Here is a 17,993-nt window from a genome sequence, read left to right on the forward strand (position 1 = left end):
TCAGAGCATTGAACTCTTTTCTTCAACTCAGTCTAATCTGTACTTTTGCTACAAATTTTCCTATTAAAAAAAGTGAAATAAAATCAGTAGCAGATAATTACATTTTTCCCTTGAATTTTATAAAAATTTAAGAGATTTTTCCATTTATGGAGTTTTACTTTAGCTCACTTGGCTTTGCAAATATTTGTAAGAGTACTATAGTTTTGAAGCAATGAGCCTTGTTGAGGCAGTGTGCGAAGGTGTGTTAGGGTGAGATGGGGGATTCTGGTCAAAATGGCAGCTGTTTGTGACTCCTCAGTTCTGTAACTATAGCAAAGTCTAAGAAAAAAACAAAACCATCTGCTTAGAAAGGCTAAATGTACACTTCAGAGTGTGAATGAAAGGTAATTTACGAAACATTCTGACATTTATTATTGCAAAACCTGAGGCGTGGTAGCCACTCGGGAGGGCTGAAGAATGGATATCGAATGGAAATTTCAGGCAACACACTAGGCATTTCCCATATATTACAGCAACACCTTGGAACAGACTTGTGAGACAGGTCTTGGTTATCCCTATTTTATATGTCAGGTAACTGACGCCAAACGATGTTAGGTGAATTCTCTAAGGACTGGCTTTATTAAAAAGTGGTACAGCCAGGGCTGAAGTCCAAGTCAGTTTTTGGTTAAAGACAATCTTCAATTGCATGAAACTTTCATATGCATAACTGCATACAACCAACCTTCTACAATATGTAGTGGGGCTCACACATCAAGTTCCAGTTCTCTTACAACAAAGTGTATGAAAAATTTTAGTTTGTGCAAATGATTAAGGAATTGCCTCTGCTTTCCCCCGGCTCACATTTTTCTACTTGGAAACATCATTTCTGCCATGTCTTACTGTGTTCTCTTTGCTCTCATCATTGCAAGTGGTTGGGACAGGTTGGACTTTTCATTTCTTGCATTAGAGTTTATTGCATTCACTGAAGATCATTGTCCTTCTCCTTTGCGCATACTTGAAGCAAAATGTTCCTAAGGCTGTATTTCTAGGACCCTTCTCCAATTTGCATTGAAAAGATCTGCCACAAATACCCAGGAAAGGCCTATCTTTAGCACACTGTCTCTTTTCCTGTTTTCTGCTTGCTGCCTATATGTTCTACCCCAATATCAGAGTCGAGTCCCAAAAATGGTGAAAGGGACATTTAAATGTGCTCTTCTAAGCAGAAGTCCAAATAGTGGCTTGAGAGTTCGAATTGTGTCTAGGGGTTAAAATAGATGACTCCAGTTCACTCTTTAAAATATTCATGTCCTAATACTTTTCCTGTGACACTGTTAAATACCTCTTCCTTATAACTCAGTGGTTTTGCTGCATCTCCATTACCTCCTCACTGTTTATTCCATGATGAGACATTGTTCTGAATCTCATAAAGAAAGAGCTAAGATCTAGAACCTGAAACAACATTTGATACAGCAATCCCCTTACTGGGAATATACCAAAGGAATATAAATCATTCTATTACAAAGATACATGCATACTTATGTTCACTGCAGCACTCTTCACAATACCAAAGGCATGGAATCAACCCAAATGCTCATCAATGGTAGATTGGATAAAGAAAATATGGTACATATGCATCATGGAATACTATGCAGCCATAAAAAGAAACAATATCATGTCCTTTGCAGGTACATGGAGGGACATAGATGGAGCTGGAAGCCATTATCCTCAGCAAACTAACCCAGAAACAGAAAACGAAACACTGCATGTTCTCACTTATAAGTAGGAGCTGAACAATGAGAACACATGGACACAGGGAGGGGAACAACACACACTGTGGCCTGTTGGGGGTTGGGGTCAGGGGAGGGGAGAGCATTAGGAAAAATAGCTAATGTATGCAGGGCTTAATACATAGGTGATGGGTTGATAGGTACAGCCAACCACCGTGGCACACATTTATCTATGTAACATACCTGCACATCTACCTCAGAACTTAAAATAAAAAATATTTAAAAAAAAAAAAAAGAAAGAAAGAGCTAAGGCTAAGGGAATCAGACCCAAAATCACATTCTGTGAGGGAATGAGAGCATAGACTGAAGAGCTAGATACTTAGTCCCAGGCCCCAAAATAACAATAGTCATGGGTGGGCGCGGTGGCTCACAACTGTAATCCCAGCACTTTGGGAGGCCGAGGCGGGCAGATCACCTGAGATTGGGAGTTTGAGACCAGCCTGACCAACACGGAGAAACCCCATCCCCAAAATACAAAATGAGCTGGATGTGGTGGCACATGCCTGTTATCCCAGCTACTCGGGCGGCTGAGGCAGGAGAATCGCTGGAACTCGGGAGGGGGAGGTTGCAGTCAGCCGAGATTGCACCATTGCACTCCAGCCTGGGCAACAAGGGCGAAACTCCATCTCCAAAAAAAAAAAAGTCACTAATATTTATGAGCCTTTTACTATGTGCCAGGTTGTATCCTAACCATTGTATGTGTATTGCTTCATTTAACACCTTAGAGTAAATATTACTATTATTTCCCTTTTACAGATAAAAGAACTAAGCCCAGACCCACTTATCAAGTGACAGAGTAGGGATTCCAATCTCTGCAGCCTGATTCCAGAGGTTCTACACTCAAACACTACCCTCTTTTGTACTGATGCACTGTTCAGCCATTGTAATGCCCCCTTAAAATCCTGGGCTTATACTCTGGTTTGTACACTGTCATGTATTCAACAGCCAAAGAGTGACAATTATATCCTTAATGAATGTAACTAAACAGAGACTGGAAATAACTGAAAAAAAAAAAATCCCTCAGGTTCTGTAAGAGATGGAAGGGAGGACAAGACTGTTCTAGAAGCAGATGATGAGGCCTTTTCAACCCATTGCCCATTTTCTTATTTTATGAGGAACTGACATTATCTGACTCAATTTTCAGCCTCTGGAATGATATGTGCAATGTCTATTTCTGAATCACTAATCTTTTCCAAAGTCAAATAAAGCTCCTATCTGGGAAGGAGATGGCCCCAGAGTGTAGAGAATAGGTACCCATAAAAGGTGGGGACAGAGAAATTGTGTTAAGCCTGAAAAGAGAGCAGAGAAGTTAGCACTGGCCCTGCAGAGCCAGGCTGTACCTCTGCAAAATGCTTTTGTTACCAATTATTACAGAAATGCTACAGGACTCAGGATATTAACAAAAACTTCTCTTCGCACACACATATCTATGGTAGGGTTTATTCCCTTGGCACATCCCAACAGTTTTACAATTGGTTTGTTCATTTATTTTTCAATAAGCAGAATGCTTTTTCCACTTCACAACTATTTCATAATAGTGCTGATGTCTGAACCACAGGGAAAAATCTGAATGATTCACACACGCTATCCTGTGTACCAAATTTTCTCCCACATGCGGCTTTGCAAGTGATAATAGAAGAATTCTCTATGTTTATGAAACATGCCCTTTCATTTTGGTTTGTTTTGGTTTGGATAATATCTTGGTGTATATTTCAGATTTCACCTAAGGAACCAGCACTGACTATTTTTCTGGGTTTTAATTAAGCCCTTTCCAGCACGCTCAGGTTCACTCATTCAAAGCTATCCACCACATCCAAGCAAATCAGACGGAGGGATTAACACGTGTTGTGTAGTAATCTTGTTGTATTTGTGTTCATCTGTTCATCAAGGGAAAAAAAATAGTCAATTTAAAGTGACATGGGAGTGGCAATCCCTGTCTTTAGGCAACGGTTGTATAATTGACCTCCTTTAGCATTTAATTTCTCAAGCCTCTAGGAAGCTTAATTTTGAACATCAAAGAGGTACCTGTGGAAGAAACTGTTCCAGACTGGTGAGTAAACAAATTAGAGTTAATAGGGTCATTAGCTTTTGTGGTAAAAAATTTGGACTGGGTATTCCTCACTAACAGATATGTAAACTGTCAGCATGTGGGGTTTTTTTTTTTAACCCTTTAAAAATATAATTAGATTTAGAATTTGACAAGATGGTATATATTCTTTGCTTAATGGCACTTCTTAGGTTTCGATAGGACTTGTTTTTTGTTGTTGTTGTTTGGTTTGGTTTGGTTTGGTTTTATTTGAGACGGAGTCTCACTCTGTCACCCAGGCCGGAGTGCAGTGGCGTGATCTCGGCTCACTGCAACCTCCGCCTCCTGGGTTCAAGCGATTCTCCTGCCTCAGCCTCCTGAGTAGCTGGGACTATAGGCACGTGCCACCATGCCCGGATAATTTTTTGTATTTTTAGTAGAGACAGAGTTTCACCATATTGGCCAGGCTGGTCTCGAACTCCTGACCTCGTGATCCGCCCGCCTCAGCCTCCTAAAGTGTTGGGATTACAGGCGTGAGCCACCTTGTCTGGCCAGGGCTTGGTTTTTATAACGCTAAAGTGTTTATGAAAATCCTTCCTAGCCACCTATAATCCATACTGATAAATATATTCCTGTATGTCCATGAATGACAGAGTTCTGTGGATCCAGCCACACTGGGAGAATCGTACTGTCCCATCCAAGGTACCAGTTACGTAACAAAGCACCTGGGTTCTAATTGCCCGTAGTACAATATGGACAGTGAGCTGTTTAAATACGTTGAATACTCATCAAGATACAAGGTTTAGCAGGGAGATTAATAAAAGAGTTCGTTTTTCACTAAACCTCAAGACTGGTGAGTAACAAAAAAAATATATGTTTAACTTAGGGAAAAAGCAAATATTTGCTAGCTTTGACAAAGGAGATTGTGGCAGCTATTTAGACTGGAAATCTGCAGCTGGGCAAGCACATCCAGTGGAAAACCACCTCCTAACTGTGAAAACTTATTGTACCAGCAGGATATGGGAAGTGACAACAACAATGAAAGCTAAGGCAAAAAAATAAAAGAAAAACAGAGTGAGGCAGAGATCGTGTGGTGCTCTGTGTTTTAAGATGTGTTTGGGAGCTGCGGGATGTAACTTAATTATGAATAAAGATTTCCAAATGTATATTTACTCTTTCCTCTCTGAAAATATAACTTATTAAAGCATTGTTGTAGCTATTCTCATAATTAGTACAAATTGGTTTGACACTAAAAGTCTTTTTTATTCTCTTTTGTGTATCTTCTGTTAGTTCTATCAGAAGAAAAATGTTTTATTCCCCATTACTGTTTATATCAAAACAAAACACATAAGTTTAAAAATAAAAATGCTATGATTACGATTACTTAAGGTTTTTTGAGAGGCATAATTATGTTGGATTAGATGAACTATTCGGAGATTGTGATGTGATATTGAATAATTTTAAGCTTATAGATTGTTGTTACATCATTTTTATTTAGTGTTAGATCAATCACGTTTTCACTTACGGAAATGAAAATACTCATTACTTGTAATTACTATATTGCTGACTTTTTTGAAATTGTTCGTGGGGGCTGGGTGGAGGAATGTTAGCTGTTGAATTTCAGTGTCAGTGCCTCTAAGCCATAAAATTCTGAAAAATAGAAATACCACAATAAGCAGAGGCTGTTGGAAAGCAAACCTCAGTGAAGGAAGTTTAGCAAAGCCTGTAGGAATCAAACAGACAATACCCACATGACTCGTTCGGCACATGCAAGATTTAGAATTGCTCAAGTCAGAATTTCTTTCTTATTTCCCAATATTTGCAGCAAAAAATACCCACATGGAACTCAGGCCTGTGAGGCCGCCTGGCCACTGAAGTCATTTTAGGTTTTGGGTTAGCAAATGAAGCATTAAGCTTTTCTACAAGATGGTGGCAAAGCCCCAAATCCTCTACTCTTTTCAAGCCTAGCCATCCTTAGAGAGATAAACTCTGAGAAGCCATAAAGGCCTTAAATTTACCACTTGTAAACAGCCTTATCATTTGATGTGGCACTGACACACCACTTCTGCACAGTACAGTAGCATCCTGCACCGTGGGAAGCCGTGCCGCCCTGGCAGAAGGGAGAAAATGCTGATGTGATTCCTTCTGCTGGATTGATGGCCTGAATTTTGGAATATTTCTGTCCAGGAGATACTGCTCTCACTCTTTCACCTTTGCAACTGTCATGGGGTACCTGCGTGTGTGTGTGTATGTGTGTGTGTGCGTGCATGTGTACATATATCTCTAAGGAGATTGAAAGGCACATGACTGAAAGACAGTTTTGTAACAATTAGGCAAGTAACTATGCCTCAAACAAAACAAAACAAAATAAAACAAACAAAAAAACCTCTAGTTTTTGTAAGGAAATAACCACGAAAACCACTTAAATAGCTTTGCCCAAGAAAGGAGCAAAGGTTTTCAGGAAATAAAAGAATAGCAGAGGTGAAAAAAAATCAATCCTGAAAGAAAAAGAAAAGTCTTTTCTTTTGAACAGATGGAGCTTTCTCTTTCAGTATCTACCTAATGAAAATGAAGATATGGATAATATCAGGCACCAAATGCAGGCTTTGGTGTAGACTCTTGTCTGTCCATGTTGAACGCTCAACAATTTCACGACCCCAGAAGTTCCAAGCATCTGCATGTTTTACCTGAATTAATCATGTGGCATAAATTAAAAGTAAATCATCAATCATCATTAATTATCTGTTCCACTGATGCCTGCACTTTCTTACACTTTAATCTTCATTAACATCTAGAAAAGAGAAAATCCCAGAGGGCATGCCACATGTGTTCCTCTGTTGCGTGTAGGTCTCCCCAGAGCTCTCAGCCACTCAGCAATACAGCTCTCCTCAATGGGAAGCTGATACCACCAGGGCTTTTTCTCTGAATACTTCAGATTAAATCAAAAGGCTTAATTTGAGCAGCCATGGGCTAAAGCAAGATTCAGCTCTTTACATCTGAGACCCTGGCGCCCTGTCTCTTGAGCACCTTCTACAACACTTGAACCACATCCTGTAAGATTCAGGTGGATTGCATCCTGGAGGAGCATGGCAGCTTCTTCATTCAGATGAGGTTCCTCGCTCTTTGTTATGAGCTGCTCTGAGCAAAAATAACTCTTACCGATGCCATTAGCTTTCTTTAGTTCTTGTTAAATATATAAGCTTTGTAAGTGTGGTCTGGTGTACAAAAATGGCTTGCAGTAAGGTTACTTGAAACAGTTTACTTGGAAAGGTGAAATGTGAAGCTATTTTGATGAGATGTGTAATGAATGATCGATTTTATACAGAAGTTTCCCGTTTTGCTTTGTATTGTTTCCTCTACTGAAGGATATAGACTGTCTTGACATGCGTAATCGTAACTCAAGGATAAAAGATTATATTGTGTACAACAATATCTTTAAGCACTGGAACCACTTTGACTATCCCCATCAATACACTAGTCTCTAACTATAAATACAAGCTACTCCCTCCCTTCCTCCCTCAGCACTGCCATGCTTTGCTTGCAATTCTCCTCCCTTCTTCCCACATGTCAGTCATTACCAAGCATGTATGAAATGGTCCATTCTATCTGCATCTGCTAAAGTCACTTAAGAAGCCAATGTGGGCCGGGTGTGGTGGCTCATGCCTGTAATCCCAGCACTTTGGAAGGCCAAGACGGGCAGATCACGAGGTCAGGAGATCGAGACCATCCTGGCTAACGCGGTGAAACCCCGTCTCTAATTTAAAAAAAAAATAAAAAATTAGCCAGGCACGGTGGCGGGCGCCTGTAGTCCCAGCTACTCGGGAGGCTGAGGCAGGAGAATGGCGTGAACGCGGGAGGCAGAGCTTGCAGTGAGCCGAGATCACGTCACTGCACTCCAGCCTGGGCAACAGAGCGAGACTCCGTCTCAAAAAAAAAAAAAAAAAAAAAAAAAAAAAAGAAGAAGCTAATGTGGAGAGAGTGTATTACTCAGGCTGGGTGCTATGTATAGAGCAGATACATCATTATACTTAAAATATCACCATGTTATACTCAACAAAATTTCACATCAATGAGAAGATCTTTCAAAAATCATAACAGTACTCTTTAAAGCTGAAGACATTTTGTGCTTGTACACCTGGTCAAAGAGAGAGGTTACTTTTATTATCTGTTCTCAAGCTTCTAAAATGTTCTGACATGATTAGAATGATCTTATGAAAATCATTCTGTTACACCCTGATTCACCAAGCAGATCCTCCAGAAAGAGCCTCCAACCTTTTTTCTAAACATCTTGCTTTTAGAAATGGTGATTATTAGAAAGACTGTGGTGATATGTCTTTCATTAAGGTTAGAAATGTAAGGATTTGATATTTCTTGTAGCATTGAACTGATATTAAAAAGCCAGTAAATTTGGAGAAATAGATAGACAAATCCAGCATCTATTCTTCTTGAGGTCTCCAACTATGTTGTAGCCATAGTTTTCAGAACCAAAATGCAGAATGATGTGGACATAGCTGATGTGGCTCATTATTTTGAAAAAGATGTTAAAGGTGAATCCTTGTTTCATTCTTCTAAGAAAATGGACCTGAGAGTAAATGGAGAACAACTGGATCTGGATCCTGGTCAAACTTTAATTTATTATGTTGATAGAAATGCACCTGAATTTTCAATGCAGGCTCTAAAAGCTGGTGTTTGTGCTGTTATTGTGGTTGTGATGATAGCAGTTGTTGCTGGAATTGTTGTGCTGGTTATTTCCAGAAAGAAGAGAATGGCAAAGTATGAGAAGGCTGAGATAAAGGAGATGGGTAGGATGCATAGGGAACTCAATGCATCAGTCCTATAATTTGAAGATTGTAGAAGAAGGGAAATCGCAAACGGACTCAGATTACAAATGTATGAGCATGGGACAAAGACATCTTTGAAGGTCACTATTTTGTTAGTTTAACATCATGTATTTGTACTAGTGAAGCCTGTACTCAATATATAAGCAGCTTGAAATTGGCTTTACCAATCTCAACATTTGACCACAAGCGTCTTTTATATATGCAGATCTAATATAAAACCCAGAACTTGGACTGCATAGTTAAAATTATTTATGCGTAACATTCAAATGAGTGCGTTAAATATGCTTCCACAGTAGAGTTTGAAAAACTACTATCTGATTTGTGATTGAAAGCTGCCTTTCTATTTACTTGAGTCTATTTCATGCAAACTTTTTTATGAGCTATGAAATAAAACATTTTAAAATTAAAAAAAAAAAAAAGTTTTCCAGGGGTAAGATGAAGACCAAAGTGAGACAGCCAGGGAGGGTCAGGGACAGTGAAAGGACTAGAAATAAAAACTCAGCCCTCATTCCGTTGTCAAGGCTATCTCAGTGGCAAACAAGCCTGAACCATCAGAAAATGGGATTGTACATTCTCTGGGTGTCACTTTTCTTCAGATACTTCTGGAACTTGATTTACCTGTTCCCAAATGTCCCTGGCCCTCCCCTTCTACAGCAAATTGATAAACTGGCATCCAAATGTGTTTCCTTAAAGCAAGCTCTAACCAAGAGGAGAGTATGATGTTCTTCTCTCAAGGATCAGAAATCTTCAGACAGGTCTCCTATGCGCCACAAAGTAGTTTTAACCTTCAGAAGTATCTGCGTCCTTTGGTGTACTTAGAGCAAAGCTACACAGAAAACCATCCTACAGGATTCAAACAGTAGCATACAAGAGCTCAATCATCTCTGAAGAGCTTTCATTTGACAAAAAGGGAAAAGGAAACAAGTCTTTGTTGGTTTCCTTTTTTTTAAGAAACAAAAGGCCATTCAATTCTCTCTTCCTTTTTCCTCTCCATCTTACACTCACAGAATTCTACGTGGCTCGCTGTTATAGAAGACAAAGGTGACTAGCTTCTTTATAATCCACGAAACACTAACATGGAAATCATGCAAATTTTTCTTTATAAAGATTAACCTGTGAAAATGTGGGGGAGCAGCACTTCCCGTGATTTCCGTGGTTTTGGGGGTGGTGTAGGAGTATGGAATTTTTTTCACCTCCACAAATAGAAATGTGGATGGGACAATGACTCACCAATTTCTCACAAGGCGAGTAGAAAATACTACGTCAAATAAGTTGGTTGCTTATTTCCTAATGGATTGATTAGGATAACAAAAACTTCCATACCGGCCAAACCTCTTTAGCAAATACCTTTGCTATTGGAATTGACACGAAAGGCTTAAATGAAGCAAAAGCGAACTCCGTGTCTTTGGGATGCAGGCATGGGTCTGCAGCCAGCTGTGGTATATGCCCTGATTTAACTATGAGTAAAGAGGCTATTTGATTAATCAGTTCCTAGCAGGTTTTATGCATTAAATTTACTTTTACAAAATCCAGAAGTTATTCTTATCTGTATCTCTCAGTTTGACTGATTAATTATCTATGGTTCCCCAGCACATACCATGATCACAGTAATGTTCTTTGGAGATATAATCATCAAAGAGCATCCCTTGGTTAGTGTGGTACATGAGAAGGGCATAAATAATGAAACAGAACAGGGGCCATTAATCCGTTCTGTTTTGTTTTCTGTGCTTGGAGGTTGGTTTACCAGGTAGGGGGTAAAGAGTAGATGGGAAGTGAGGGGGAGGAAAAGAGGAAAGCCTATAGGTCAGAATTTTGCGCGGTTCCTTTCAGCCAGTCCCTCTCCTCGGACCACGCACCCTCAATCCCTGGCAAGTCTTGAAGGCTTAGAAGTTTTCATTGTGGTTTGCCAAGCTTTAAGTATGCACATGACTCTCACTGGGAGCTAAAAATGTATTTCCCTAACACCAGATGATTAGAAGAAATTGCTTGATTATACGACATTTATGGTTCAAACATGAACCTATTGTTTAATGCAGATTTTTAAGCAGTTTTTTAAAAACAGAATATCGAAAGTTTGACAGGTCAGTGCTAATTAAGAATGCAGAAGAGGGGCCAGCCACGGTAGGTGGCTCACACCTGTAATTCCGGCACCTTGGGAGGCCGAGGCAGGTGGATCACTTGAGGCCAAGAGTTCCAGATCAGCTCAGCCAACATGGTGAAACCCCGTCTCTACCAAAAACACAAAAATTAGCCAGGTGTGGTAGCAGACACCTGTGGTCCAGCTATGCTGGAGAATCATTTGAACCCAGGAAGTGGAGGTTGCAGTGAGCCGAGATCACGCCACTACACTCCAGCCTGGGCGGTAGAGCAAGACCCTGTTTCAAAAAAAAAAAAAAAAAAAAAGGAATGCAGAAGAACAGAGGGCAAAAAGTGAAGCTTTCAAATCATATCTCCCCCTGACTTTTGAAGGGGCTGAGGAGCTGCTAACTGAGTAGAGATTAATTGCCAGGGTTCACTCGGTAGACCTCAATTGTGTATCATTCTTCCTAATGTTATGGAATATTTATGTCAAGAAATCCTGATGGTTTGCTCCTCTGTAATAACCCTTTGCCTGTTACCTTTTCCCCCTGTGTTTTTTTGTTTTTGTATAACTAGAATGTTTCTATTGTATAGACATTTTAGAACAAAATTGGGGTTGACCAGCTTATTGAATACAAATCTCCTTTTCTCAAATGTAGCAGTCAAGAGCTGTGGGGTGGCAGGTTTTCTTACCACATACTAATGAGGGCAGCTGGGTGAGTGCCCTCAGGCAGAACTAAACTTTGCACGCGCTACTTCTCACATCTCCCTGTGGGTAATTAAGTGGTGTGGTGCTCCAGCCTGCTAAGGAAATGTCAGCCCTTGCCTGGGCTGATTTTTTTCCAGTGGAGGAAAGCAAAGCACAATAGATCTTAACCAAATAATGTAAATACAGAAGGTTTGAGAGAAGCACGTTTTCTAGAATCTCTCATTCAGCTTTCCCAGACAGTTGTAAACCAAAATATTCACTAGCAGTATGACTCTAACAATTTCAAGGAAACAGACATTGGAGTATGGAATGTTTCACTGTTATTTTCCTCTGGCATAATCGTGAATTTAAACGATTGGCCCATTTCTCTGGTTGAAGGAAATCATTCTTTCAACCTTCTAAGAAGACGAGTTCTATGGAATTTAATCACTTTTGCTTTATAATTTTTAACAAAAGAATCCAAATTAAAAAAAAAAAACCAGCAAAGTAGCGAGTGAGGAATGAAGACCTCAAAATCTACAAAATGTAAAATCTACCAGCTTTGTATTTTGACCCTGTCAAACCCATATTTGACAAGCAAAGCAGTGTGGCCTTTTTCCTTCGAGTATAAATTTCACTTCACTGTATCTGCTTAAGTTGTAGCCAGGAGAGATTGGAAGTTTTATAACGTGATTGAAATGTAAAGCTCAGCCAAACAGGAGTAGGAGTAGGTTTTGCTCAATTGTCATTGATTAAGGGGTTCATCTTATCTATCCATCTGGGGTGCCATAGTAGGTGCATGCTCTGGTCCTTTGCACTCTTCGAGGGCACTTACTCTTAACAATGTTTTGAGATTTTTTTGTGGTAGTAGTGGTGGTAGTGATGGTGGTGATGGTGGTGGTGATTCTTGTCATTTGTAATTGGGACTTTATAACTATAGGATTGGTTAAGAGGAATTGAGACTATTAGAGAGAGAGCTGTGTATAGATTAATAGCAGTTAATTTCTTCTGTCTTCCTCTAAATTTCTCTCCAGAATGTGTCTGTCTCCCTTTTTCTCCGAGCTTCTCTCTCTCTATCAGTCTCTGACTCAATTTGTCTGTGACCTCTCTTTCGAGTAGTAGTAAAAACATTTTAGTGTCCTTATAGTTCAGTTAGGAGATAAAGTTCATGGCCAAGTGCTGTCTCTGTCTTGATCCTACGGCCCTTCCCAACTTGGTCCTCCTTGCTCAGTGACTTAGCCCTGGGTCCTTGCAGCCACCCTGCTGAAGCTCACTCCTCTGGCCCCCTGTGCGACCAGTCAGTGCTGTTGTGTTTGCACAGAGACCAGCTGCTAGGTCCACAATTGCAAAACAGTTCCAATCTACAAACTGTTTTCATGAATGTCTTTTGTATGTCTGGAAAACATTAAATGTGATTTCACAGATGAATGATTTTGAAAGTTTTTAACTTTTAATTAGACTATTTTTAATGACTTTTTGTAAATGGATTCCCAGTAAAGCATTTTGTTTTACCTATCTGAAGACATAATGAGCTAAAAAGTTGAGATATTTAGTATCAGGTTTTTGGGTGTTTTTATTTGTTTTTGTTTTGTTTTGTTTTGTTTTGAGACAGAGTCTCGCTTTGTCACCCAGGCTGGAGTGCAGTGGCTTGATCTCGGCTCTCTGCAACCTCTGCCTGCCAGGTTCAAGTGATTCTCCTGCCTCAGCCTCCCAAGCAGCAGGGATTACAGGCACAAGCCACCACGCCTGGCTAATTTTTGTATTTTTAGTAGAAACGGGGTTTGGCCATGGCCAGGCTGGTCTCGAACTCCTGACCTCAAGCCACCATGCCCAGCCAGGTTTTGTTTTTTTTTTTTTTTAATATAAAAGGATAATAGAATGAAAATTTGAAAAACACAAGTATAAATACATATGTATATATGAAAGTGTGTATTCATCTTCAGAATAAAATAATAATAGAAACATTCATAATTCTCCCACCAAGAAAATTGTATTTTACATTGTGTTACATTTGCTTGTAGTCTTTTTTTTCGTTTAATGTAATATATGTACACACATTTGACATTTTACTCTATAAAGCAGTTTGTAAATTACCTCTTCTTTCATTTAAACTTATACTTCTGAGTTGTTAAATGTTCTTTAAAAATATATTAATGGCTGAACAATACTCCATTGTATGGATGTACCACAGTGTACTAAAAATTGTTTACTTTTTTAAAACAATTTTTTAAAAGGGGGGGTTAAAGGAGGATAAAATTCTCTGTGTAAGGCGTAAATCCTTACATACATCTCTGATTACCTTTAGGAAAAAAAACAGAAATGAAATTATTTTGTCAAATGAAAACATTCTGTGATTTAAAATTTTCTATTTTTATAAAATAGATACTTAATATACATATTTGTATATTGGACGTTTACTTTTTGGTATATACCCCACCCAATATGGCATTTAAAAATAAAGCTATCTAGTTTCTACACAGGACTCTTTATAATCAATGACTTTCAGATCAAGTAGTAGCATAAAATTATTATTTTGATCCTAAAGAAAGAAAATTAAGTATTATAAGTTCTATCTTGATAACTACAAAACAGACCCTCTAGCACAGTGCTGTGACACTATAGTCTTCGAGTGAACAAAATTGAAGAGATTTAGAGATAAGAATTACGACCTTCTCTTGTAAATGAGACTCGCAAAGCACAGGAAGAGCTAAATTATTGACTTTTTGCTCTGTAACAACACTAAGAATAGCTAAGACTTGTTGCCTTCTTACTAGTGTCACAATTTGAAGTGCTTTATGGGCATTAAATCATTTAATCCTCATAACAATCCTACGAGGTAGGTTGAATTATTCACCTCATTTTACAAATAAGGAAAGTGAGGCTGAGGGAGGTTAAGTCACTTTCCCAAGTATTTCACCGAGGAGGTGGAATTCCATCCCAGAAAGCCTGGCTGCAAAGCCTGCACTCTCCACCACTGTGCAATGCTGCCCCCTAGTGCAAGTGTGCATACACGCTGCTCAGGTTCCTTCCCTGAGAGGCTGCTCATAAGGAAGAAAAAGGCAGAAATGTGGAATGAAGGGCTGATAACCAAACACACACACACATACACACACACACACGTGTATATACACACACATATCTGCAGGCATATATATAGTTGATATAAATATATGTCTATATTTAACAGTATATGAGTAGCATAAATAAGATTAGTATACTTTAAAATGTTTAAAGAGCTTTTATTTATATTTTCCTATCTGTGAGGAAGGCACAGTGGAGATTATTGAACCCATTTCACAGGTGAAAAAACTGAGGCTCAAAAGGGTTAAAACATCTTGCCCAATGCTCTACTGCTGGGAAAGGCAGTGTGGGGATTAGAAGCCAGATCTTCCAGCTGTTAGTGCAGTGGAGCTTCTGCTCCCCTTATTCCTCCCCAGCAGTACCTCTCCTACATGTCCAAAGGCATGAGCAAAAATGAATGAGAAATGGTACAGACAAGGAAAAAGGGTCTGCCTTCCCATCTGTTTAGATCTAGAATCCAGAAGGAAATGAGAGAACTGCTCTTGGGCGATGACAGTGTAGTGTTAACAGAAAACAGAGAAGGAAGAGCTGCTCAATTCATGTTTTGCTTCCATTCTCTTCAGTAAGAAGGATTAACTTCAAACAGAAAACTCAAGGGAAATAGATGTGGGTAATGTAAATACTACAGGCATAAATCCTTTCAGGAGACATGAGAACTTACAACTGACAGCCTAAGATAACTACAATCACGTGGGGTGGGGGGTTGTTATTCACCCCATTATAATATAAATTATTCCTAATGACACCAGATAAATAGGTGCTGTTAATGAGCTGCACTTGGAAATAAAGATACCACTTACTGACCAGATAACATGAGGCCACAAGTATTGCATTTACACTCAGCCACTCATTGGCCACTTTAGCCTCCCTTGTGGCCAGGGGCAAACATTCGCGAGATGGCTACTTTCAGCCAGAGTTCAATAGGCACGGTGCTATGTACACACTAGGTACTTGGAAAATATTTGTTGAATTAAGCAGAATTGGACTGAACTCTTTGATGAGGTTGTCCATAAGCAGAGATCCCTTGCTCTAAAATACAAACTTCCTATGTGGCCTTAAGAAAAGACCAAAGTCATTCCAAGTGTGTCATGAAACAAAGAGAAACTAAGTAAGAATAGGACACATACAGGAGCGTTTGGAAATCATAAAGTTTGGCTCTTCTCTTAACTCTCTTTATTATTCTGGTGAACTGGAATAATAACTGTGTACAATTACATTTTAATTTATGCTCCAAATGAAAGAGCACTTTTTAAAAAGTAACATTTTAAGTGTCAGAGAAGAGACATATTAAACTATTATTTCTTTCTCAGTGATCATAAAAAAACATGCATTCTGAAGTCAGGACAGTGAGATGCTTAAAAGCCCTACATACAGGGTAATAAATAAGATGAATGAATAATTGAAATTTTGCATTATGTGGCACCAATAGATTAATTTTTACAAGGGAACTTATTTCAAGTAATGATCTTAGGAAGTGATCTCTCATTAGTAGCCATCAGCGCGTGGAGGTGGCCAGCCTTTCCTACATAAAGCAAAGCAGCAAAGTTGAGTTCTCACTGATATGTCTTAAGAAGAGAAACAAGAGTTACAGGTGTAGATGAGTTGCAATGCATGAGTTACAGGTAACTAATATTCACCCTAACAAATCAAGCTGGTCCTAAGGTAGATCCTGCTGGCAGAACATACAAAGCATTTTTCCCCCCATTGCTAACAGTCGTAGAATTTGTGAATTCAAGCAACTCTTAATGAGTTTTAAGGGGACCCTCAGTGCATAATATGGAAAATATGCATCTTCCTTTTCAAATTCTGTAGACATGTAATCCTCCAAACAGGCATAGCCATAAAAATAAAACTAATCTTTAATGGATGTTGATTCAACAACAAAGATATTGCCTCTTTAACTGTCGTATTCGTTGGAGGAGTAAATGTGTTGTATGTGTGTGCGTGCATGTGCATGTATGTACGTGGGTCATGTGTTTCTGAAAACATGAACTGATCTAAGAAGTTCTAGTTATGATTCTCCTCATAAGGCCTTTGGAAGCTGACACCTGCACCAGTTCTGTGTTTCACAAATTAGAAGTTGGTTTCTGCTACTTCCTTTTTTTTAATGTCAGCCCTAATTGTTTGTCTTACTCTGATACCATTCTTAGTGACTTTGAGAGTGTATCATGCCTTTTTATCCATAATGAATGACTATTAGCATCAATTTTTATTACATTCCAAATAACCATCAATTTCTCCTTCAATTACATGTGTAAATGTCATGTGGTTATTTTCTGCCCTGTGGATTAGATAGCAATCAGAACCAGAGTGACTTTAACTTTAACTGACCCACAGAATAAAAGTGGTTCAAATTATAGAGCAAGGAAGGGGGAAAACAGACAGAAACTCACGATGATCATCTGAGCAGTGAAAAAAATAAATACATAAAAGTTGAGTGCAGGAGTGAACCCCAACGACAAAGTTGCCAGATAAAATCTCTGTCTTCCTCAATTCTTGGCTTAGCTTTGGTGCTATGACAACTATCCACATATCAGGGGACTTATGCATAAGTATCCCAGAGTCTGTTTCTGTTGGTTTTGTTCATCTCATGTTCTTTCTACCCTCTGGAAGGCAGGGTGATTAAGGCTCCATGACATTATATTTTTAAATTAGGAGTTTACACATAGGGTATGAACTGTAACGAATTATTTATTGAACACCTACTAGTTCTAGACACTGTGGAAAGCTCTGGGAATACAGCAAACAAGACAGCTGGGATTCTTACTTTATGGGGCTTTCAGTATAATGGAGAAGAAAGACATTAAACAAATAATTACAAATGTTCAATGCTGTAAAGGAGAAGCCCAGGATGCTGTGGAAATATAAAACGCAAGATCTAACCAAGTGTGTGTAAATGTGTGTACACGGGACTGGGGAAAGGGAGTGTGCAGAAGGCTTCCCTGAGGCACTGCTGCTTAAGCAGAAAACTGAAGGGCGGAGCAGAGTTGTCAGTACTGCAGTGCTGGTGCTTAGTTCTCAAATCTGGGAGGTACCGTGCACTTAGACCATGATGTCAATATGTGGCTCACCCCTGCAGTTGCAGGGCTCGCTTCGCACAACCATCCCCAGGTGTCTCTGAGCAGGAGTGGGAGTTGGCTAGCTGATTAGCAGAATTAGATGGGGAGAAAAATATTGCAGAAAGAAAGCCATTATGTCTTTGAAGTAGCACAGAAAAATGTGTTATAATAGAAGTAGAGCGTGTCTGGGAAAGAAAGTGGGGTCCCACCGGCTGGGTTTTATACACATCATTACAGATGTGTCATTTTATCCTGAAAGAAATGGAAAGCCACGTGTATGAAATGCATCAAAAACATTACCCCTAAAGAAGATCTAAATGGAGGAGGGCAAAATTGGGCTTTAGGACTAAGATGTAGACTTTTATCACAGTTACAATGAGAATTTTTGCTTCCAGGATTAGGACCCTGCCAGATTTAGGAAGCAGGATGTACAGTAGTTGGGTGCGGGAGGTA

General features: G+C 39.2%; 1 protein-coding gene and 1 pseudogene across 6 annotated transcripts in view; both read left to right on the plus strand.

The window, feature by feature from the left end:
• TENM3 (teneurin transmembrane protein 3) overlaps positions 1-17,993 on the plus strand; it is a 1,355,412-nt gene that overhangs the window by 66,769 nt on the left and 1,270,650 nt on the right. The gene's annotated exons all lie outside the window — the stretch shown is intronic.
• On the plus strand, positions 8,279-9,040 carry LOC132386 (epithelial cell adhesion molecule pseudogene; annotated as a pseudogene).

Source organism: Homo sapiens, chromosome 4 (genome assembly GCF_000001405.40).
Source record: "Homo sapiens chromosome 4, GRCh38.p14 Primary Assembly".
Classification (NCBI taxonomy): domain Eukaryota; kingdom Metazoa; phylum Chordata; class Mammalia; order Primates; family Hominidae; genus Homo; species Homo sapiens.